The following is a 24,715-nucleotide window of genomic DNA, read 5'->3' on the forward strand; positions in this document are numbered from 1 at the left end:
TGCTTTGGAAGGGAGGGATTTTCCCATCTCCGGAGGTGTGGAACCAGGGCTGCAAGACACACGGAGTGTGTGTGTGCTGAGTGCGTGCATCTGGGGGTGTGCATGTAAGTGGGTGTAAATGTGAGTGGCTGTAGGGGGTGTGTGGTGAGTGCATGTGTGGGGGTGTGTTGTGTGTGTAAGTGGGTGTATGTGTGAGTGGGTGTGTGCGCGCGTGGGTAGGGTGTGTGTGTGGTGAGTGCGTGTGTGGGTGCGTGTGTGGGTGTATGTGTGAGTGGGTGTAGGGGTGTGTGTGGTGAGTGCGTGTGTGGGGGTGTGGTATGTAAAGAGGGTGTATATGTGAGTGGGCGTGTGTATGTGAGTGTAGGAGTGTGTGTGGTGAGAGCACATGTGTGATGTGTGTGTAAGTGGGTGTATGTGTGAGTGGGTGTAAAGGTGTGTGTGGTGAGTGCGTGTGTAAGTGGGTGTAGGGGAGTGTTTGGTGAGTGCATGCGTGTGGGTGTGGGGTGTGTGTGTGTAAATGGGTATATGTGTGAATGGGTGTAGCGGTGTGTGTGGTGAGTGCGTGTGTAAGTGGGTGTATGTGTGAATGGGTATGTAAGTGGGTGTAGGGGAGTGTTTGGTGAGTGCGTGCGTGTGGGTGTGGGGGGTGTGAGTGGGTATATGTGTGAATGGGTGTAGGGGTGTGTGTGGTGAGTGCGTGTGTGTAGGTGTGCAGTGTGTGTAAGTGGGTGTATGTGTGAGTGGGTGTGTGTAAGTGGGTGTAGGGGTGTGTGTGGTATAAGTGGGTGTGTATATGCATGAGTATGTCTCGTGTGTGTAGAATGAGAGTGTGTGAGAAAATGTGTGGTAAGTGGGTGTGAGTGTGCAGTGAGTGGGTGTGTGGGTGTATGTGTGTGGTGAGTGGGTGTGTGTGTGCAGTGTGTGGGTGTGTGGTGTGTGTGGTGAATGGGTGGGTGTGCGTGTGTGCAGTAGGTGTGAGTGTGTTGGGGTATGTGTGTGTGTGGTGTGTGGTGAGTGGGTATGTGTGAGTGTGCACTGAGTGAGTGTGAGTGTGAGGATGTATGTGGGTGTGTGGTGAGAGCGTAGGAGTGGGTGTGTGGAGGCGAGCAGGGTGAAGGGGTGACCTGGACGAGCAGTCTAAGATCGTTTCAATGCCAGGAGTCTACCATTTAAAGTAGACTGATGGCTTTTTCACTCATTGCATGGTATTGATTTTTATCTACGCTTTTTATGAGTACAAATTAATGTTTCTTTTGCACGTGAGCTGATTGCATCAGCCAAACTGCAAAGGTCTAATGGAGTGTGGCAAGGAAGTGTGTTTCAGTGGCGATATGCCACAAATGCACTCTGGCAGAGGACAGCGGGAGCCTCTGGGATGGAGACAGGCGGTGAACAGTGTGCCCAGCTCCCCCTCAGCGGCCCCCGGGCTGGCAAGGGTGGGACAGTGGCTGGGAAAAATGGCTTGCGTGGGGGCACTCACAAGCAGTTCTGGGAAGAGCCTGGCACTGCCCTGTACTCAAGGTTCTCAAGCCATCCACACTCGCCTCCAGCAACACCGTTTGTTCATTGGTCAACGTGGCCTGGTGAACAAGAGAAATTTGGCATTGGACAGATCTAGGTTTGAATTCTGACTCTTCAACTAACTAGTCAGTCCTTAGACAAGTGATTTAATCTCTACAAGTCTCTGCATTCTCGTCTGTGGAATGGGTGTGGCAGAAGGCCTGGGGAGGTAGGAGACAGAGAGAGAGAGTGTGTGTGTAGGGTGAAACATCTGTGGAAGGGGACTTGCATTAAAAATTCCAAGGATCAGCCAAGCGAGGTGGCTCACGCCTGTAATCCCAGCACTTTGGGAGGCCGAGGTGGGTGGAACATGAGATCGGGAGATCGAGACCATCCTGGCCAATATGGTGAAACCTCATCTCTACTAAAAATACAAAAATTAGCTGGGTGTGGTGGCATGTGCCCGTAGTCCCAGCAACTAGGGAGGCTGAGGCAGGAGAATCGCTTGAACCCGGGAGATGGAGGTTGCAGTGAGCCAAGATCGCGCCACTGCACTCCAGCCTGGGTGACAGAATGAGACTTTGCCTCAAACAAACAAACAAAAAAATTTCAAGGATCTTCTGAAAGAGAAGGGATGGAGATTCTAACTCCTTTCCCCATTATCCAAAATTCCAGAAAGCTGTTTGAGTGTACTAAGGTTCAGTGGCTAGGGAAGGGCAACAAGGCCCTGCCTTGCTCATGGGAGGGGTCCAGCCCTGTAATATGATGAACATGACTGACCCCTGTTGGGCTTAATCTCCTGGGACAGGCTTACACCTGGCAGAAGGGATCTAAGACACTAGAAGAGTCCAGGTAAATATGATTGGAAGCCCTTTTCCTGTGTATAATCATGGGATAAAGGGACAGGGACAGCAGATCACCCCTCTCTTAACTGCTGGACCTGCACCAGCAGCTGTGGCACCCCCAGAACCCAAAGGCCTGAGGGAGTTCTGGAGACACCTGGACACTTGGAGGGAGTCACCTTCCTTCAGACAGTGTTGCCTGAGAGCCTGGGACTTCCTGAGCCTGGTGCTAAGTACTTAGAGGAGTCCAGAGGTGTGTAACATAGTCCTGCCACCTGCCTGCATGCATGTGTGTGTGTGCATACACACGTGTGCTTTGAACAAATGCTGACAGAACGTCAGTGGCTTCCTGGTGGCATAAAAGAACCAGCCTGGGAGCCTGAAGGCCTGGGTTGCAGGGCTGGCTCAGCCACTGGCTTACTGGTGACTATTGGACATTCATTTCCTGTCTTGAGCTCCTTTTCCTCATCTATAAAATGGATTGAACTTATCCTTCAGGTCTTTTCCAGCCACGGTGGCCTATAGATACCATTTGTTATTTTCTTTTGGGTCCCCACTTATTTTCTTTTCTTTCTTTTCTTTTTTTTTTTTTTTTTTTGAGATGGAGTCTCACTCTGTTGCCCAGGCTGGAGGGGCAGTGGCACAACCTTGGCTCACTGCAACCTCTGCCTCCTGGGTTCAAGAGATTCTCCTGTCTCAGCCTCCCGAGTAGCTGGGATTACAGGCACACACCACCATGCCTGGCTAATTTTTGTATTTTTAGTAGAGATGGGTTTTTGCCATGTTGGCCAGGCTGGTCTTGAACTCCTGAGCTCAGGTGATCCACCCACCTCGGCCTCTCAACGTGCTGGGGTTACAGGTGTGGGCCACCGCACCCGGCCTCCCACTCACTTTCCAAAGGCCTATTCTCAGCCCAGAATCTGCTTTCTGTAAGGATCTGTCCAGTTCAACCTTGCACAAACATAGAAGAGCAGAATCCACAGGTGTGAGACCACCTACCCAAGACTTCCATAGAGAGCACACACAGCCCATGTATACATGTATATTATTTATTGTTGATTCTGTACACCAAATGGATTACAAGCAGCATCCAGCAGAAGACAGACCCCCCAACCCTGCCCACCAGGGCTCACACTCTACAAAACCCTGAGGGCCTAGAAATCTGTAAATGCATCGCCAAGCACTGGGGCTGATTTGCAGTAATTCTCTAAGCAAGGCAAACATGATCTAGCTTTGAAGGCAGCATGAAGGCAGCGGGTTGGTGAGAACAATCTCTCCTTAAGAGAAGAAGAAACCTGGGGCGGAAGGAGTTTTCCCCGGAAGTGGCTTGCCAGCCCACCCTCTCTGAACCACAGCCATGGCTTCCTTCCCAAGGCCACTGCTGGCTTCCCAACAACGCAGATTCAGTTCTGACTGTGGGATCTGGGGGCTGAATCTTTGAGTGGTTTATAGCTAAAAGCTAGGATACATCTAACATCTGTCGACCAACTCTGGGTCCCGAGTTATCTCTAGCTGTCTGCTCTCTGCAAACTTCCTGAGTTTGGAAGTTCTTTCCCAATAGCTCTACATCAGCATCTGAAAGGTTGTGGAAATTGTGTCCATGAAAAGTTCTAAGTAGAACTCTTGTATCTCTAAATTCTAAGGAGGAAGAACAATATACATACAGCCCAATTCCCATGAGAGGGACAAACTATTCTATTCTTTAAGGGATGGAAGAGTTTATTTTTTCCTGTGGTTACAAAGCTTTTGATCTATATGGTACCAAGTGAGGTTCTGATGACCAAGACTAAGGAGAGCAACAGGGGAATGGCTTCCATTTCCTTTGGTTTAATGACGAAAGCCCAAGACAAGCCATGAGCTCTTGTACAAAGTTTGAAGAGATAAATAAAACTCCCAGCCTATTGAACACCATGCAGAAGAGCAAGTGCCTCTGTACCCCATCACAAGTGGGTAGAGGCGGCACTCCTACCGCAGGGGTGCTGAGGGCTAGAGAGAGAATCCACGTCCAGTGCTTGAAGAGTATCTGTGCACAGTAAGCACTTTTTAAAAATAGTGGTTCTAATTGGCTTTTGTTGTTTCTTCTCCAACACTGACTCCCAGCTCCCACTCCAGATGGGCGTGGGACTGTCAAGGAGCTGTAAACAGAGAGGAAAACTGAACTCTGTACCCCACTCCAGCTTTCTGGGGGACCAGCCGGCTCATTCCAGCCCTGAGAATTGAGCAAATGCATCATCCTGTTGGAAAGGAGACTCCACTCAGCTTTTCTAGTAGCTCCTCAGCCAGACAACATGGTGCAGAGAGGTTGAAGGGCCCGCTGAAGAAAAGGAGGCCAATGGCTCCATCCAACCACTCTGATGGGAGAAAGGAAGAGGCAAGAGGTTCACATAAGGGGGCCCTCACCCCTCACCTAGGGTGCTCCTGGGTGGTGTCATCTGAGGACAGTGGCCCTCAGGTCAGCCTCTGGCTGGAGAGGAAGGTGCTCCAATGTCATGGCTACTGCCAGGAATACCTAAGGGTTCTGGGTTAAGATTGGCAGGGCCCACCGGATGATGAGGTTTCCCACCTCCCTCCAGCCCTGGCCCACTTGTGCCTATGCACAAAGACATCTGGAGGCCACTCACAGGAGCACCCGACAGGTCTGTGGGCAAACCCATGCTTCCTGTCTGGAGGGGTACGGGCCGGGATGCCCCTGTTGGCACCAGGCACAGCAGGCCACCATCAGCGGGTGATGCTCATGTGCCATGCTCTGGGCTCACTTCCTGTTGGCTCTGGCAAGCCTTGGTGCATGTCCTCCAGGTGCCACCAATAGTGTGGAAATGCCTTGGAGACCCTGGGGGGATGACATCTCTTGACTCTGACGGGCCTCATCTCTCCTAGATTCCCTGGGACAGAGGGTGAAAAGCTACAAAGTGCACTAGTGTTTGCAAACAGCCCTCTGGACACTTTTTGTGCAGGAACTGGAAGGGAAAACTGGTCAGCACGTGCTCCTGTGGCCCTGGAGGATGTCACAGGTGTCTTGTGGAGCGGGGAGCTAATAAGAGCCGATCGGGATTGGTGGTAGATTTCCAGATCACAGGTGTCTTGTGGAGCGGGGAGCTAATAAGAGCCGATCGGGATTGGTGGTGGATTTCCAAAGCACAGGTGTCTTGTGGAGCGGGGAGCTAATAAGAGCCGATCGGGATTGGTCGTGGATTTCCAGATCCCCGTGGAGTCAGCTGAAGTTCTTTCCTGGGCAGACGTGGAGACCTGAAATTCTCCATTTCACTGTAAACTGGGCCAGTTGTCCAGAGAAAGACACACGTTGCCATGAGCCTAACTTCTTGAGCGCCATGTGAATATGTGTATAGCAGGAAAGCCAGAGAAGGCAGGTATTCGTGTGACTGTGACTCGAGGAGGAGAATAACCCTGGAGCAAACAACTCAACTCCTAACCAGACCACACGCAGGAGGAGCTCCAGGGAGCCCCCAGACCCAGTGTGACCCATCGGTGTACCCCCGTGTCGCCTGCTGTAAGTGAGATTCTGAAGTTCAGCTGCCAGCTGACTGTGATGTTGATGGAGAATTTTACCACATTAGAAAGACACTAGATTCCGTTACACTTCGTTTTCAATTAAAGGATCTCATCTCTGAGCGATTTCACTTCCCCTAAGTGAAGAATGAAAATTAAAAACAGATACAGGCATATCACGTCCATAGAAGGCTCCAGGCGGAGGGGCCTCCGATGAGCCGCAGACAGCTTGCTGGCAGGGAAGAGGGTGTGGCTGCACGGACCTCTGCAGTCAGGATGCTTCTGACCTGGCCAGCCATGGTGCCCCAGGTCTCAGGGTCTCTCAGGGTCTCCAGATATAATAAAATCTCCTGTTCAGGCCACAGTCTCCCATCCTGTCCACACCCACATATTCTCCTCCACCCCTGGCCACGGGGCCTTTGCACAGGCTGACTGTGGGGGGACCGTCCTGGCTCATGGGGGGCAGGTCCCAGGTAAGTCCATCTTCAGAAGCCCCCATCTCCTCTGGGAAAAGCCCAGGATGGGGGATATTTGTGATGCTCTGGGTCTGGGTCTAGATGCTGATTACACAGGTATGTTCAGTTTGTGAAAATCCACCAAGCCATACACTATCATGTTCCCACTTTTCTGCACGTACACTTCACATGCTTCAATTAAAAATTTTAAAACAAACTCTAGGGGTGAACACAGGGACCCCCAGGCACCAGATTTCTTTCTCTATCCCGTATTAATAAGCTGATTTTAATGTTTTTAGAAGTCCAAAATTCTACATGATTTCATTCCTTAAAGGGCTAAACTTTTCAAAGCAAAGTTTGCAGTTTGGAAATATCCTTCTCTAAAAGGCTGAGCTTGCTGTGCTGGGGTGTTTCTTCCTTTTCCAGATAAAAATCACAAGTGAGACACTGATGACGGCTCTTCTGTCTCCAGGAACTGAGCGGCATGATTTTCCTTCTCTCTTTCATAGCATCCCCAAAACCAGGCTGATTGACGGCTCTTAAGAAACCAGTTAAATGGTTTGAAGTCTTCTTTGAGGAGAGAACTCACCCTGCCTTCAGGAGCAGAAAATCAAGGGGAGAACTTTCATTTGAGGGGACATGCTGGGTCAAGCCGTAGCACAAACAAGAGAAACAAAAGAAGGGAAATCAACTTACATAATACTTAGGCGAGAGGGGCTATCTCAGCGGAGAACTATTCCCACGAAGTGAGCAGGCTGTGGACTAACTGAGTCTACAGAGGCCCGGAGGGGGCCTGGGCGCAGGGAAGGCTGTTCTTGGAGGACAGGTGGGGAGGATTTGGAGGAAGAGCCCTCTCGAAGGAAGCCCAGGGGTATGAATCGGAAATCCCCAGGGCTTTTGCCATGGCCAGTTGGATCTATCTTCCTGATTGTAGGAAGGTCCGGCACGACCTGCTTCTCTACGGGAGAATCAGGCAAGTCAGGAAGAGGTAGGCTCACCTTTCTCTGGGGCCAGAAAGAGCAATCACGGGAAAGCTCCATGGACCCAGGGGTGGAGGCAGAAAGATGAAATTCCCAGGTCCTCCAGTCCCATCATTCCCCAGCCCTGCTCCAGCCTGCCTCTTTAACACTCATTGGGTGCCTTCATCTGCATCAGGACAGCTTGGCTCCTCTTCTTGCAGCAGCAACAGCCGACGCAGGCAGCCAGGGAGCAGGCCAGGGCGACAATGCCAATTACAATGGCGGCAATGGCCAGCCCGCTCTGGGCCTGGGTCATGCCCCAAACGCTGCGGTCATCAGTGACCTGAATGGTAGTCAGATCAGTGTAGTCTTCCACAGGGCTGGTTAGCTCAGTGGTAGAAGAGACGGATGTGGTGTCAGGGTAACTGGGTGTGTCTGGGTACCATGGTGTTTCTGGGTAACTAGGCACCTCGGGGACATGGACGCTTGGAACAGCAACGTTGACATTGATGATAATGAGGGACTGGCCTCGGACATTGGCTGGGCTGAAACACACAGGTACAGTGTCCGTCCCTAACCTAGGCTGGTTGAGCAGGAGCCAGTTGCGGAGCGGAAGGATGTCTGAGTCACACCTCCAGGGATTGTCATACAGCCGCAGCTCACACAGTTTCCCCAGGTGATCGAAGATGCCGAGGGGCAAGTTCTCCAGCTGGTTGTTCTGCAGCTGGATGGCCATGAGGCCATTGACGTTGGCGAAGATATTCCCTGGGAGCTGTCTGAGGCGGTTGTTCTGCAGGGAGATGTTCTGCAGGTTGGCCAACATGCGGAAGACGTTCCCGTCCAGGTCCTGCAGTGCGTTGGTGTGGAGGGACAGCTCCCGAAGCTCCGTTAGCCCGTTGAAGGCACCCGGGGAGATGAAGCTGATCTGATTGCGGCTAAGAATCAGGACCTGCAACTGGCGGAGGTTGCTGAAGACATTGTCGGGTAGAGAAGAGATGTGGTTGTCATAGAGCCAAAGCTCCCGCAGGTTGGGCATGGGCCCGAAGATCCCCGGAGAGAGCTCCTTCAGGGAATTCCCAAAGAGAGTAAGACGGTTGAGCTGGGGCAGCTGCATGAAGACGCTGGGTGGCAGCTGGGAGATGTGGTTGTTGGACAGGTAGAGTCTCTGGAGGTTGTGGTTGTTGTGGAAGAGACCAGGGGAGAGCAGTCCAATCTGGTTCTGCTGCAGAGCCAGTTCCTGCAGGTTAACAAGCCCATCAAAAGTGCCCATGGGGATATCCGTGAGCCTGTTCTCATACAGCCGGAGGACCTGGAGGTTGCCCAGGTGCTGGAAGACCCTGGGTGAGATGTGGGTGAGGCTATTCTTGCCCAGATTGAGCTTCGTGAGTCCTACCAGGTGGTCGAAGGCTCCGTCAGGGATGTATTCCAGGTGGTTGCCGTGCAACTGCAGCTCCTTGAGGTTGCTGCACTGGGAGAAGTGGGCCGGCTGGATCTGCAACAGCTGGTTACTGGACAGAAGGAGAGACTCGAGGCTGTCCAGGCCCTGGAAGAGGCCGATGGGCAGAACCTGCAGCTTGTTGTTGGCGAGGCTGAGATAGCGCAGCGAGCCCAGGTTTCGGAAGGCCCCAGGCGTGATGCGCGACAGCTCATTCTTCTCAATCCTCAGGGCGATGAGGGCTGAGATATTGAGGAACGGGGACTCATTGAGTTCAGTGATGTGCGTGTTGAGGATCTGCAGGCTCATGGCGTTCCAGGGCAGAGGGGTGGGCACTGCCACAATGCGTGCCCCGGTGCACTCCACCTGGGAGGCCCTGGAGCAGGTACACTCGCTAGGGCAGCCATGGTAGGCCAACCCTGCACCCCAGGCTTGGCAGCCCACCAGCAAAAGGAGATAATGCTTCAGTGGCATAGCCTGTGCAAGGGGAGAGAGCACACGTTAGTCAGGGTCCTCTACCTGACACTGGCAAGTTTTAAGCCAACATCAACTCCAGTGCCAATGCTGGCTTGGCTTTGAACCCCATCATCACATACTGAACACATGCTCTCTCTGCTCTGAACAGGAAGCCTCTGCACCTTTGCCCTGCCTTTCTGCTTCCATGCCTTTGCCCAGGCAATTCTCCCTACCTGGAATGTCCCTTGTCCTTATACAAAATTTTCCCATGCTTCCACGTCCAACTCCAGTGCAATAACCTTTAGGACACTTCCCAGATTCCATGAGTCAATCAGTTACCCTTCCATGAAGTCGTCTTCCCAGTCTCCATCATTGGCCACGGTGGCCTTGGATGTCATTCACTGTGTCCCCTGTCTGTCTCCTTCCCCAGTCAATAAGCTTTCCACGGACAGGGAGTCCATCTTTCATCCCTACAGTTTCCTTAGGGCGGGAACTGTATCTTATCCATCTCTGTATCCCTCACATCATCTGAATGTGCTGGTTAAGCACAGCCCTGTCAGGAGGAACACAAAGGCAATGGGAACAAATAAATAGGGCTGAACCTGGGGGAAGATGGTGAGGCCACAAACACGGTAGCCTGCCGGGAGGTGCAGCAGCGGCGGCAGAGTTAGGACCACAGAGCTGGGATCTGCCTGAATGACTACAGTGGAAGCAGCTCTTCCTCACCCTCGCCTGGGCCTGCCCTGCCCAGCCCATCACCACCAACCATCACTTAGCCATCTGCTAGCCCTTTCACCTGTGCTTCATCTAGCTCGAATTCAAACCACCCTCCCAGGAAAAGGCAATGACGTGTCTGCACCATGTCCTGCCTCGCTGGGAGAGGCTGCTGTGGCTTAGCTGGTGCCCGAAGCCAGCCTTGTGGGTATAAGTCCCAGTTTCCACAAGAAACACTGGGGAGTCCTTGAGTAAGTTCCAGGAAACCTACTGAGATGTACTTTGAGCTAAAAGATGGTAGGTCAGGTGTGGCAATGTTCTGAAAATGGAGGCAAGTTCATGGAAATGTTGGTGTTTGAAATCACTGATGACAATGACATATATAACTGTGTGTGTGTATGTGTGTGTGTGTGTGTGTAAAATGTAGAGATATGGGACATAGGTGCTGGTCCCTATATGAATATTTAAGGATCACTAACAGTTTCACCTTGCATGAAGCTTGAGGCCTGCAAGCTTCAGCTCCCTCGTGTGTGAAGAGGGGATGGTAACTCCCGCCCCGTTCTTGGGGCTGTTGTGAGGAGCGAATGCGGAAAGGATGCAGGGTCATCCCGGCCAGCGCTGTGCAAATGCGTGCCTTGTTCCATGCTTATCCACAGCATGGACCCTATAGACTCCTCAAGTCAGGAGGGCTTCAAAGTGCTTCTGGTCTTGGCATTCGTAGTCAAGGAACTAAGAATTTCTGTGTATATGTGAGAGTATCCGCAACTTCCACCAAAGGTTCAAAGGTCCAAACTCCTGGAAGATGCAGCAATCACTGCCGGTCACTCATTCCCATCACTTTTTGGGGATGCAAGAAGCAAGGAAAGGCTTCTGAGCTTAAAGCCCAGGTCTCCAGACCCCTGAGGAAGTACTTTGAGTGTTAATGCTGTGTCTCCCTTTCCATGAGCAAAAATCCTGAGTCAGAGGAAGGAATTTCAAATGATGGCACAGAAGCCATCAATGGTTGGGTAAAGAAGGTATTTCTCTGGTCTCTGTCTGTGGCTCTGAACTCACGGGGTCTGGAGCCTGGCCCACGTCTCAGAGTAACCCAGGCTTCCTAATTTGGCCTCAGCCCCGTGCACCCCTTCCCTGCCCCCTCAACAAGCTTACTCTGAGATAAAAACCTAAGCCCATTCCCCAACCACACAGACCTTGATTTTGTTTTTTTTTTTTTTTTTTTTGAGATGGAGTCTCGCTCTGTCCCCCAGGCTGGAGTGCAGTGGCATGATCTCTGCTCACTGCAAACTCCACCTCCCAGGTTCAAGGGATTCTCCTGCCTCAGCCTCCCGAGTAGCTGGAATTAAGGCGCATGCCACCATGCCTGGCTAACTTTTGTATTTTTAGTAAAGACAGGGTTTCACCATGTTGGTCAGGCTGGTCTTGATCTCCTGACCTCGTGATCTGCCCACCTCGGTCTCCCAAAGTGCTGGGATTACAGGCATGAGCCACCGTGCCCGGCCAAGACCTTGATTTTTTTACTTGTTCACAGCCCATGGAAGCCCTGACCTGCTATACTTTTACATTAAGAACTTGACTAAGCATATAGAACAATGGAAACAAGAAAGGAAAAAGAATACCTTGTCCAAAGGCATCTAGATGCAAAGGAATGGGGCCAGGTTATGCTAGGGACACATCTGAAAAAAAGTAAAAACTTATATAGACAAATGTCAGGTCCAGAACCCAGCAACAGAAAACAAGCTGCCTAAACAGAATACACCAAAAAAAGTGGCTCAATATTCACCCTAGGAGAAGACTTAGGACTTTTTACTAACGATAACAAAGGAAGGAGGCTGCCCACAAAAGCTAGTGTGGTCTGAGACTGGATTAATAGAAGAAGTATCACATGTGGAAAAAAGGAGGTGATGGTCTCACCCTGCAACTGCCCTGACGTGGCCACACCTGTAATGCTGGGCTCAGTTCCACTCTGAACTTCAAAAAGGCTAATGGCAAACTGACTTCCTAAAGAATTCTAGAGGATGGCAAGGGGATCTAGAAAACAGAACATCTGAGCATCCATTGAAGGAACTGTGTCAGCACCCTAAGACATGGTGAGAAAAAAATTAAATTAAAATTAAAATGAAGGAGCTGTGGATGAATAAATAACCAGAGGAGGAGATGCTGTGAGGAGTCTACAATCACTTTCCTAGCATCCCTGAAGGGCTGCCACGGGATACAGAAAGAACCTAGCTCAGTGTGGCTTCAGAGGTCAAGCGGGTGCAGAAGTTATAGAGTAGCAGATTTCAGTTCACACTGAAAATGGGCAACCTCACAGAGGGAGTAAGCTCACTGTCACTGGAAGCAATCAAGCAGAGGCTAAAGCAATCACTTGGCAAGCAAGCTGTAGAGAAGACTCCCATGCCTGGTAGGGTATTGGACTGGAAGACAACTGGTGTCCTGTCCATTCCTAAGACCTTAGGATTCTAAGGCTGAGTTTCAGGGCATGAGAAAACAATCTGTCCACCAAGACAACGGTGCCTGTACTCTTAGGGGTCTGCGTGGACAGTGTGGGTATTTGCCCATCTCTTTGGTGTAAGTGTACGTGAGATATTTACTGCCTGGGCTGACGTGCAAAAGGTGGAGCTTGAATTGCTCCTGGAGACAAGCTGGCTGGCACTTATATTTAATGTACACTCATATACCCAGCATGCTTCAAAACGGTGTCACAGCCCAAGTGTCAGAGACTAAATTAAGTGCATGTCACCTGGCCAGCCCAGGGCAATCTTGAGTTTCCCCATCTATGAAGGACAGTGTAGGATGAGGCACCCTCTGAGGACCCATCTTTATGTGGCTTTCTAGGAGTCTGCACTCCCCAGCTGGGGAGGGGCATCAAGCCAGCCCAGGAAGGGCTTGTGCCAGGGAAGGTGCCCCTTGACCTGAGAGGACTGCACAGATAATTCCCTATGGGAACAGGGCCACCACTGTCTAAAATGGGCCACACTCAGCATGACAAATATTGCAAGAATTTGCAGATTTTCCTCTGTATAAATCCTCACATCTGCAAAGCCCATCCCAGCACCACATGCAGCAGTTTCCTGTTTTCCAGCACTTTCCACTGCTGTGGCTGGCGGCCAGGGCTCCACAGGGCCTCCAAAGTGCTCCCCTGAAACCCGGCTGCAAAGCCCGCAGGGGAGGGAGGGGCCACAGAACCAGGACTGACAGCTGGGCCCTTGGATTCTCAGCATGTGATGCCAGCTCCTGCAGTGGCCACAGCCTCTAGGAGCCCAGCACCTGGAGGCCTAATAGCCCACGCTGCCTGGTGCTGCTTGGCAGCTCTGACAGATGGCAGTTAAAGGGCCACAAAGCTGCCCTAATTATAACTTCTCCCCCAGGCAGCCGAGAGCGTCGTCAATCACTTCAGTGACTCAGTCCAGCCCCTGTCCAGCTCCTGGGAAGGGGGAATAGCCTGGTGTCTATCACTGGCCCATGAAGTCAGCAAGCCGAGCAGACAAACCGAAGGACAGCCTGACAGCTCTCCTGGGCGCTCTGATGCATTCCCTCCCCGTGAGCAGAAGTGCACGAACCAGGGCTCTCGGCTTTGGGTCTCAGCAGAAGCACCGTGACTCACGAGCAAACGCGTAATTAGCCTCGAAGCCCTGGGCTTTGTTGGTTGGTGGGTTGGGACGTTTTTGGTTTAATACCATCGTTCACATTCCCTGAACACGAGGTTTCCTGGAAGGAGACTCCTCCTTATTTTAATGACACAGAGCATAACTTTTGGAGGGAGGCTGGAAGACCAGCGTTCTACTCTGGTTGACACTAAGTTGAAGTGTGAGCTTAGGGAAATTCTCCAGGCCTCAGTTTCCCCTTCAGTAAAGACGTCCAAGGGCCCTTGGAGCTCTGCTATCTTCTGATGTGAGGCAGGAAGGAAATTTGGCCTGAAGCCCCTCATTCTCCTCATCTTCTCTTCCCCAGAGGACCTGCTGGACCTCCAGCAGGGCCGCCCGGCCCGGCTCCAGCTTCATGCTGAGGCCTGAGGAACTCATGCCCATCTTTTCAGGCCCACCTGCCTCCAAGTTTCCCAGCCAGGGCAATCCCACTTAGTAATCAGCATGTCCGCACACAGCCAATAGCCGTTCCATGGAACCCAGGGACTGGGAGGGGCCTCTGGGAGCTTCTGGTCCTGCCCACTCCCAGTGCACCTGGGGAAACTGAGACCCAGAGAGGGGCTGTCTCTCCCTGGCTTCTCCCTTCTCCCCACAGAGGGCTGCCCAGTCATGGCCTTGTCTGCAGAGAGATGTCACCCAACAAGCCTGAGGGCTCCCGAGGAAGATGTCAGGCTTGGAGCAGCCAGGGTCTGTCCCCACTGCCCACAGCTGGTGCTGACCTCAATCACGCGCTCATGGGGGCTCAGGCCAGTGGGTCTGCCTGAGAGGCTTGGCCTGAAGCTCGGGCCTCCGTGCCTCCAGACCTCCCCATCTCACCAAACATCCCCTCTCCTGGGGCAGCACATAAAATCGCCTGGCTTGTTTAATAGAACTGACCTCATAGCGTTGCTGCTGTGAGGATTAAACGAGTTAATGCATGTGAAGCACTTGGGTGAGTTCTTGGCACAAAGTGAGGACCCAATAAACGTTTGTGACGATTGTTATTTTTGTTGTTGGGTAAAAATCAGAATCTCTGGAGACTCCACCCGCAGAGATCCTGATCCCTAGGTCTCAGCGGGGCCCAGGATTCTGCATGTTTTACAAACTTCCCAAGTGACTCCAATGCAGGAGTCCACAGAACATGCTCAGAAACACCACGTGAGGTCTAGACTAGCCGAGAACCCAGGCTCAGACCTTTTGTCACTGACCGCTGAGAACGAGAGGACCCGGGATGGGGGAGGCCGCAGATCCTGCCACAGGCCTGGCCCCATCCCTCTACCAATATTTCTCTCAGCGGCCCCTTCCGCATCCCCATCAGGAACTGCAGTTTGTGCTGAGTTGAACCTGGCAATAGAAGCTGCTTCCAGAAACGGTACTTAGAGCCTGGAGCATCAGAGGTGCAAGAGCTTTCTGAGTGCACCTAGTCAAACCGTCTGCTCATTTTGTAGTTGGGAAAGCTGAGGGGGTCCCCAGGGAGCAGAGACTTGCCCAAGGTCACACAGTCCGTTGGGGACTCCTGACACCCGATCAGGGCCCCTAACTACAGAGTTTGGCAAATCCCTGAGCCTCATCACCGGGATTTGGGACCTTGTCAACCACACGCCTGGCAGGGCCTGGGATTGGGGAGGAGGTGGATTTGCACCCTCCAGCTTAAATCAACTGAGGCTCATACAATCCACCTTCCCCCTGCCCAGCATGATTCGCCAAGGGCAAGTGCTTATTTCAACTACCAGGCTGCATGGGTTCAGGGATTTCTTCTTTAAGGCTGCTCTGATGCTGGTGTTTGTTCAATTCCACCTGAGTCTCCTGGAGGACTGTAGGGAAGGGACAGAGGGTTCACCAGAAGGTGTTGACCCCTGTAATCTCAACAACAAGGCTGGAGATGGAGTCAAGGCTGCAGATGGATTTGTGATGAGGGGTGTGTGGATCTTTATTTTTTTATTTTTATTTATCTATTTTTTTTGAGACGGAGTCTTGCTCTGTCACCCAGACTGATGTGCAGTGGTGTGATCTCTGCTACTGCAAGCTCTGCCTCCCGGGTTCACACCACTCTCCTGCCTCAGCCTCCCGAGTAGCTGGGACTACAGGTGCCCGCCACCACACCCGGCTAATTTTTTGTATTTTTAGTAGAGACAGGGTTTCGTCGTGTTAGCCAGGATGGTCTTGATCTCCTGACCTCATGATCCTCCCGCCTCGGCCTCCCAAAGTGCTGAGATTACAGGCGTGAGCCACCGCGCCCGGCCAGTGTGTGGATTTGAAACTGGGACAGCTGCACCTTTACCTGTGTCTCTGCTCAAATGTAGAGGCAGGACCTGGGGCCAAGGTCACAGGCCCCTGATTTGGGAATACTCCACCCCAAACAGAAACCTTCCTTGAACTCCAAAGCAAGACTGGCCACACCCTCACCGTCCACCTTGATCAAGCGGGGACCCGCGTCTCTCATCTCTCATGGCCCTTCAAAGCCAACATGTTGCTTATTGTTTGAAAACAGAAAATCAGTTAAAAAGCGCAATTCCTTTCCAGCCCTTCTGTTGGGGATCCTCCCAGGTCTGGCTTCCTGCAGAGGCCAGAGCAGGACTGTCATTAGCCTGGCAAGGGTGGCAGGAGAAACTGACAAACCGCCCAGCAGAACAGGAGAACTGCCCCAAAAGGGCTCTTATGACAGCAGCCACGGGCTACAAACAGCCCCCTTCTCAGGCGGGCACCTGGGATCCCAAAGTAGAGAGAAATGGATCAGCCCCTGATCAAAGCATCTGGAAGCAGGTTCTAATTTCTGTGTCCAAAAGCCAAGACAGGCCATAAATCTGAAGCAGCAGTGACTCCTTCGTGGTCAGGATTCAGGGCAGCAAATTGCCATGTGTGATCACAGTCTGCTTACTGGCAGGACTGAGTCGGGACAGCTCCTCCCCCACCCCTTATTCTCCACGGCTGGATCTATTCTACCTCGCCTCACCACCCCGCCATTTACTGAGCGAGCTAAGGGAGTGTTCCCTAGCCCTGGGAAGAACCTTCCATGACCTGACTGTCTGTCGAATCTATCCAGAACTTACCCTGGCCCCGAACCCTCTCACATGCCTGCCTCATCACTGCTGAGCCCGCCCAGCTGACTCAAGACCACAGGCAAATTGGGCTGTCTGGCCCTGAATTTACTCCAGATGTTCAGTCTCTGCAGAATGAAGGAAGTGCCAGCCGTTAGAGCACTTCTAAATTAAGGAGCCAGTGGCAGCAACACATCTGAGAGCTGCCCAAGGTAAAGTGACGCATCCCAGATAACCCCAAAGGAGAAGCTGGCACGTGGCAGACAGGCACCTGGCACCTGCGACTGGAGCACACGTGTCATCTCAGAGAGAGTGCAGCTGCACCGAGGTGATGCCCTGGGCCCGGGAGGTGGAATGGCTCTTGCACTTTGGCAGGGGTGGGAGAGTCCTGAAAGCTCTGGTTTTCCACAGTTGGTTTCTTGGCCCCAGGTCCTGCCTCTACGTTTGAGCAGAGACACGGGTCAAGGTGCAGCCGTCACAATTTCAAATCCACATACCACCTCATCACAAATCCATCTCCTGCCCTGACTCCCTGCTCAAAGCCTCCAGGCTCCACAGAGGCCGACGCTTCCAGCAGGAGAGAGGGGAAACTGCCAGCATAGTGTCCCCTAAGCCACACTGTTAGAGCCTGAACAATGCTGAGCCCATGTCCGAATTCCAAATTGGAACTGCAAACCAGGGACCAGCACATCTGCTGAAGTTACACTTGCAGGAGTTATCCATCTATGCAAAGCAGACAGCTCTCTTGCCTGGGAAACCCCCATGAAGGAAGGTCTTGGGCAGAACCAAATGCGGGGCAGACCACTGGGAGCCACCAGGGCAAGTGCCAGGAAAGATGGCACAGGCGCAAATAATCTGAACCTTAAAAAGAGAAGTTCTTCCCCCAGTGGATCTAGATTCCAGAACGGTCAATCCAGTGACAAGGGGGGTGATAATTTAGTCCACTTTCAGCCCAACTTGCTGGTCTCAGACATCTCAGCACCCCAGGTTGACATCATGAGCCGCTCAGGGCAAGGGGCATAAGAGGCTGTTGAGGCATCAGCAGAGGGGCTGGTGGTCCTGGTGTCCAGGCAGTGAGGGAGACAGGCTTGCACCCCTCCAGCACAGGCTGCTTCTGTCCCTGTCCCGAGAGCATCCCCAGGCACATGTCAGCTCTGCCCCTTCTGGGGTCTCCGAGGGGAGCAGGTCCAGCAGAAATGGGAAGGGGCTGGCCGGGCCCTCTAAGCAGAGAGGAGGGATGGGGGTGGCTTGCCTACTTACCAGCAGCTCGGCGCCCGCCCGCCGTGGACAAGAGGGAGCCTGAGAGGAGGACGAGGGACGGCTCAAGGCTGCAGCATGAGTGTGGCTCGCCTAAGCTGTCCCGGTATTTAAACTATCCCGGGCGTGAGTCACTGCAGAGGGCAGTGTTGGCCCTGGGAGGGGGGACTGTGGGCCACAGTGCAGTGCCTGCATGTCCCGGGCTGACACTACAGGGTACACATAGCTGGCATCCCTAAATGTAAGGGGTTTGCTTCAACCGTATTTAAAAACTCAGGACACATTTTCCTCTTTCCTTCTTTCCCCCAGTGTATCTTTTGGATTCCTTCACTGCATTGGCCACCGTGAGAGGGGAGTTTACAACGACCCGGTAAACCCCTCCCTAAGTGACTGTGGACCCCCTGCTGCCCTGCCCTGGCCAAGGAGACAAGGACCCCGAGAAAGGGATGGAGCAGGATTCAGGGGCGTTTCTTTGCTCCTAGAAGTATTGGCAAGTGCTTCTCCCTGTGGTTCTAGAAAACTTATTCATTCTTCTCTTTCTTTCTTTCTTTCTTTCTTATTTTAAACTTTTTATTTGGCTTTAAATTTACAGACAATTAATGTGTTTCATCTGTTGTTAACATTTTGGAAGAAGCATTTACTTTAGATTCCAAGGAAAAATATAATTACGACCACTGTGTCCCCTCTAAAAACAGCATTTCCGATTTCCTTGTGATGCTGGGGTCTTTGCCATTACTGCTGCTCTGAGAGGTGCAGGCACACACATCTCTGGCTTGGGGACGGGCAATCAAGGGGCATATTTGGGCGTGAGGAGCTTCCCTATGCCCCTCACCTCTGCATTACAGCCCACACACTGCTGCCCTCTCTACCCCCGTCCCCAGTGGGGACAAAACTGTTTCTATTTGTGGTATCCCCAAAAAGGCCTGGGGAAGAGGATACAGGAATCATAGTTGGAGGGGCGGGAAGGCTTCCAAACCCCGGCTTCTCCTCCGAGATGGAGCCTCAACAAGGCCTGAGCTGCCCCAGGCTGAAGCCACCCTGCCTTTGCCTGGCTCGGTTTACCCTCTCAGCTAAGTGGGGAGAGTGATATTTACACACAGTGCCTCATGGAGTGCCAAGAGGCTTAATTAATATTTGCGCTGTGTTTTGAGATCTGCGATGAAAGGAAGATATAAAAGTGCGTAGTGTTATTACTGAAATAGTTGCTTGGGTGGCTTGTCATGGTCAAGACCTACAGCCTGAATCACGCCACATTCCTCCTCACTGTGGCACCGTGATTCAGAGCCGGAAACAAAAAGTGTCTTGTCCACTAAATAACAGGAGCCCAGGAGGGGCAGGCACTGCTTGGAGTGGCTCCACACAGCTTGAAGCCCCATCCCTTCCCCCACCAGCCTTGTTCCCACGTGCAGAACACCTTCCCTCTTACGGCCCTGATTCCTCCACGTTCCCAAATCAGGTACTTTAACTTTTCTCTTTTTTTTTTTTTTTTGAGACGGAGTCTCACTCTGTCACCCAGGCTGGAGTGCAATGGCGCGATCTCGGCTCACCGCAGCCTCCGCCTCCTGGGTTCAAGCGATTCTCCTGCCTCAGCCTCCTGAGTAGCTGGGATTACAGGCACGCACCACCAGGCTCAGCTAATTTTTGTATTTTTTGTAGAGATGGGGTTTCACCGTGTTAGCCAGGATGGTCTTGATCTCCTGGTCTCATGATTCTCGTGATCCACCCGCCTCAGCCTCCCAAAGTGCTGGGATTACAGACGTGAGCCACCGCGCCTGGCCACTTTAACTTTCTTTCCATAGAACCTACAAGAATAAGAATATCCCTCTTTTTCCTCTTCCATCCTCCCTAATCCTAGCACCCAAGCGCTCTGTGTCGGGCACTGTGCTGGGAGTGGTGGACAACACAGGGATGAATCGGCTGCATTTAAAGATGGCTATTTGGGAAGCACCTGCTGTGAACCAGAGACCCCTTGGGTACCTCACTGCAGCTCTCCATCATTTCACCTCCACCAGCTTTCTCGGCCTCACCACGTGACATTTGGAGGCAGATAATTCTTCATTGCAGGAGCTGTTCTACGTGTCGCGGGAGGCACCATGGCATCCCTGGCCTCTGCCCTCTAGATGCCAGCAGTACCCCCCGATCCAAAAGTAACAAAATGTCTCTAGACATTGCCAAATGTCCCCAGGAAGGGGGAGTTTACACAAACACATACACACACACACACACACACACATTCATGGTTGAGAACTACTGATCTGCCAAATAGTCCTATGAGTGGCAGTAATTACCCCCATTTCACAGACAAAAAAACTGAGGCCCAGGCCTGTTAACTAATTTCCCTGCAGCCATATGCTAAGTGACAGAGCCAGAGTCCAAGCCTAGCCCGTGGGCTCCATGCCATCTGCACACCACTGGATCCTGTGCTTGGGCACACAACCCCCATGGACGGAAGTTCGGACTGACGCAGAGCGGGGCTGGGAGAAGATGGAAGGAGTGAGGTCACTGACAGATCCTTCCTCGGGGCAAGCTTGAGAATGTGGGAGCATTTCAAGGGATGGACCTGGGGTGTCATGCAGAGGGTGACCTTAAAAGATGAGCAGGCTCAGCCGGGCACGGTGGCTCACGCCTGTAATCCCAGCACTTTGGGAGGCCGAGGCGGGCAGATCACAAGGTCAGGAGATCGAGATCATCCTGGCTAACACGGTGAAACCCTGTCTCTACTAAAAATACAAAAAATTCGCCGGGCGTGGTGGCGGGCGCCTGTAGTCCCAGCTACTTGGGAGGCTGGGGCAGGAGAATCACTTGAACCCAGGAGGCGGAGGTTGCAGTGAGCCCAGATCCCGCCACTGTACTCCAGCCTCGGTGACAAAGCAAGACCCTGGAAGGTGAGGGGAGAGGGTAAAGGAAAGCCATCCAGTCAGAGTGAGCAGGAGAGAGAATGTGGCTAGAGCCCAGGCTGTGTGGCAGGGCCTCACTGAGGACTGGGATGATCCCGAAGAGTGGAGTCCTCTGGAGGCAGTAGGGAGCCACCAGGAGTTTTGGAGGAGGGACAGGCCCAGGTGGAGCCATGCTGTAGGAAGTGTGCTATGGGGGTGGGGGGGTTCCAGCCTTCACAGAGAACTCTCTCTGGCCTTCATGACAGCGCATGGGTTTCCACACCGTAACCAGGCCGTGCAGGAAGGAGCAGTTCCCCAGGTTGGAGGTGCCGTGGACATCGGGCTGCAGGACTCCGGGTTTCCACACATGGAGGCCCTCTCTTCCCCAGAGAAGCACCTTCTCCTACGGAGGAAGCAAGGCAGCCCCCAGGCAGCCCCCAGAACAGCCGCTCCGTTCCACTAATGAAGGGACGGGACATCTATTATTATTGGAAGGGAAAGCCTGATTTACCACCCGCAGGCCCTGTAACCTCAGGGCTCACTTTCCAGCCCCCCTGGGAGAACCGGAAGAGCTGGGGTCGCCCCAGGGCTTCAGGGAACTCTGCTATCTCCCGCCCTCGCATGTGTCTCTATTCTAGTTAACAAGCACAGAATCGGGCACTGGAGGCCGTGGGACCCAGCCTCCCCTCGGTGGGGCAAACCCCTCCACAGCACCCTCCATAGCTGGCGTTAGCATCCCTGCTCAGTTCACCTCGGGGTGGGGACGCTGTGACCACACCATTGTGTCCCCTGCTGGAGCGGCAGAATAAAAAAGATGGAGAATGCCTCGGGCTGGTAAGGATGACGGTGGTCTCACACTGTTGATGGGAATATAAACTGGTAGACCAATAGCTATCAAAATCCAAAAACCCAGGCATGGTGGCTCACGCCTGTAATCCCAGTGACTGGGGAGGCTGAGGCAAGAGAATCGCTTGAGGCCAGGAGTTTGAGACCAGCTTGGACAGCATAGTGAGACCCCAACTCTCCCCCACCCAACAAAAAAAGAAACTCAAAGTGTGTAAACCCCCACATACACAGACATGACGGTGGGTGTGCATACAGCGATACGTTCAAGCATGCTCCAGGCAGCAAGACTGGCAACAGCAGATCACTGTGAACCACTCAGATGTCTGTCTGCAAGACAGTGGCTGCGCACATCATGAAAATCCATACCAAACAGCCAGTTTTAAAAGATGAGACAGATACATCTTTATTTGCAGAAGAAAAACATATCAGATGTATTAAGCATAAAAGCGAGTCACAGATTAATATATATAATATAATTGCGCTTACTGGCTTAAGAAAAAAAGACGTAAATGTACAACTCCTCAGTTATACCTCAACACATGGGAAAGAGTCAGGAAAACAATCTTTCTATTTGTCAATCATGATCACACAGAAAGCCAGAAGACGGTACGTAACATCAGTCATCCCACTGAATGGCCCTCGGTGTCTACAGAGTCAGCCTGGGATGGCCATCCAGGGCTCTCGTCTCCGCCTGGTTCCCTCCCACCTCTCTCCTGCCCGGGTGCCCCTCCATCTGCTCTCCCTTCAGGAGGCAGAAAAGGCCATGAGAGCCGCAAGGTCCCAAGGGGCAGCCAGTGGTCCCCAGCTCATTCCCAGGTCCTGGCTGTTCTCTGAAGGAGGAATTTTAGGTTGTTCCTCAGAGCAGCATATCTCAAGGACACACAGGCATCCCTTTTGCTCACGAGGACAGCCTCTCATAACAGGACTGTGTTGGAGCATTCGGCCACCTGAGTCTCTGTGGATGTATTCAGTTTTATAGAAAACTTTCCCTGACACGGCTTAAGAGGAACAAGAAAGAGCAATGCAGGTGTGAGAAATTTCACCCAGCTATATGGTGTGTGTCTGTCCGTGTGTGTTTGTATCACACATATATACACACACACACGGGTGTCTTTGTATCTATATATAAATGCATAGAGAAAGATCTAGAGAGACACATACAAAATTGCCACAGCAGTGGAGGCAGGGAGCAGTGATAAACAAGGCTGTTTATAACTATGTGTTGTTTAATGTTTCATTTAAACAAACATGCATTCCTGAATTACATCCGGTAGGTAATTAGAACAACTATTTTGAAATATAAAAATAAGGTTCTTTTTTTTTTTTTTTTTTTTGAGATGGACTCTTGTTCTAGCTCCCAGGCTAGAGTGCAGTGGCACGATCTAGGCTCGCTGCAGCCTCTGCCTCCCGGGCTCGAGCGACTCTCCTTCCTCATCCGAGTAGCTGGGATTACAGGCACACACCACCACGCCTGGTTAATTTTTTTGTATTTTTAGTAGAGATGGGGTTTGGCCATGTTGCCCAGGCTGGTCTCGATAAGGTTCTATTTTTTACATCTTTTTCTTAAACTGAAACCTGCCTCCCTGGGCCCTCCACACTGGGCTCTCCTCCACCCTTTGGGCCCCATGGTGCCTGCCCTTGCCCGTGTGAGGCCCATCCATTCCAAAGCCTTCTCCTCTCCTGCACCCTTGGAACTGCCCCACACAGGCCCTCCCCGCAACCGTCCTGATGGGTCACCGGGGAGCCCTGCATTCGCTCAGTAACTGAGCAGCCGGTAAGCGGCAGGCCCTGAGCCAAGTGCTGGTGTACAGAAGTTAACCCACTCTAAGGGGCTCACATACATGAACCATCCGCTTCCAGCGTAAGGCCCGTGTGGGATTGGTGCTGTCATTCAATGAGCTTTGGCAAGTGTGTAATGACATGTATCATCATCATATAGCATACAGAGTATGTACACCACACGGAATGTTTTTTTCATGGTAAAGAATGAAACGTTTATAGACTGAGTGACATGTCCAGTGGAGTCAATGTCTAGTGGAGAAGGAGGGAAAGAAAAGAGGAGAAGAAAGGAGAGAGGAGGGGAGAAGGGGGGAGGGGAGGGGAGGGGAGGGGAGGAGACCAGACTCTTTTCTTCTTGAAACAGGCCCCTAACACCCGCCTAGCGCTCAGCAGGAGCAAAAGGGCTTTTCCTGTCACAGAAGGAGCTCAGGTTCCCTGATGGCTTCCAAATCCCAGCCCCGTCCATCCCTGACCTGCCACTTTGAGCCTCCTTGTCCCCATGTGTGAGCTCAGATAACAACCTGCCCCACTTGACTGATGAAAGGATTAGAAGGAGAATTGTGTGTGCAACGCCCAGCTCAGGGCTTGATCACGGCAGATTCCCCGTCAGTGGGAATGCCCCTCCCACTCCTGTCTTTCCCTGTTTACAGGGTTGTTGCTGCTTTGTCAGCAGGAAAAAGGCAGCCTTTGAGGAAATGACTTATTCCTACTTATCCCAAAGAGGTAAAATTTAGTCTCTATAAAGTACTACACACCATCCTCATACAGGAAGAATGAAGCCAGAAACACTAAAAATATATAGAATAATAATAATGGGACAAACAAGCAAACAGTCACCTTCTTAAAATCCCCAGTGACAACTCCCAGACTCATGTCCTGCCATACCCGGTAATTAGTGACGTTTCTCCAAAGGCAAGTTTCGTAAGATGGCCCTTGGTCCCCGGCCTCCCTTCCTCATGGTGATGATGCGTTCAGAGTCAGGAGTGTCCCAGGGAGGCTGTTTGGTCACAGTGTCGAGCCTGGGAGCGGTGGGTCAGGGAGAGAGGAGTTCACGCATAAGAAAGCAACCCTCCGACCAACAACCGCTTTTAAAAATGGGCCAAGGATCTGAACAGACATTTCTCCAGAGAAGATATACAAATGGCCAATGAGCACACGCAAAGATGCTCAAATCACAGTCATGTGGGTTGCTATCCAAACAACAGACAATAACAGGCGTTGGCAAGGATGTGGAACACTGGGACCCTCGTATGCTGTGAGCAGGGATGTAAAAATGGTACAGCCGCTGTGAAAAACAGCGTGGCAGTTCATTGAAAAGTTAAACATAGATGACCGTGCGATCCCATCATTCCACTTCAGGGTGTGTACTCCAAAAAACCGAAAGGAGGGACTTGAACGGATATGTGTGTCTCTGTGTTCACAGCAGTG

General features: G+C 52.1%; 1 protein-coding gene across 2 annotated transcripts, besides 1 other annotated feature; it reads right to left on the reverse strand.

Annotated features, from left to right (window-relative positions):
* Window positions 1-3,377: 3,377 nt before the first annotated feature.
* Window positions 3,378-17,872, reverse strand: LRRC15 (leucine rich repeat containing 15). 2 transcript variants are annotated; one of them, NM_001135057.3, is made up of 3 exons: window positions 17,790-17,872; window positions 11,485-11,541; window positions 3,378-9,175 (listed from the first exon to the last, which is right to left on the reverse strand). In NM_001135057.3, the coding sequence occupies exons 2-3, from the start codon at window positions 11,497-11,499 to the stop codon at window positions 7,427-7,429; spliced, it is 1,764 nt and encodes a 587-aa protein (NP_001128529.2). In that variant the 5' UTR covers window positions 11,500-11,541; window positions 17,790-17,872; the 3' UTR covers window positions 3,378-7,426. The 2 variants fall into 2 exon arrangements, with proteins under 2 accessions (NP_001128529.2, NP_570843.2); NM_130830.5 differs by lacking the exon at window positions 11,485-11,541.
* Window positions 17,331-18,295: an enhancer, noted in NCBI's record as "H3K4me1 hESC enhancer chr3:194089931-194090895 (GRCh37/hg19 assembly coordinates)". NCBI's record gives its function as "activates a minimal SCP1, AML or CMV promoter by ChIP-STARR-seq in naive H9 embryonic stem cells {active_cell/tissue: H9 hESC(naive)}" and the evidence as "EXISTENCE:reporter gene assay evidence [ECO:0000049][PMID:30033119]".

Source organism: Homo sapiens, chromosome 3 (genome assembly GCF_000001405.40).
Source record: "Homo sapiens chromosome 3, GRCh38.p14 Primary Assembly".
In the NCBI taxonomy this organism is placed as follows: domain Eukaryota; kingdom Metazoa; phylum Chordata; class Mammalia; order Primates; family Hominidae; genus Homo; species Homo sapiens.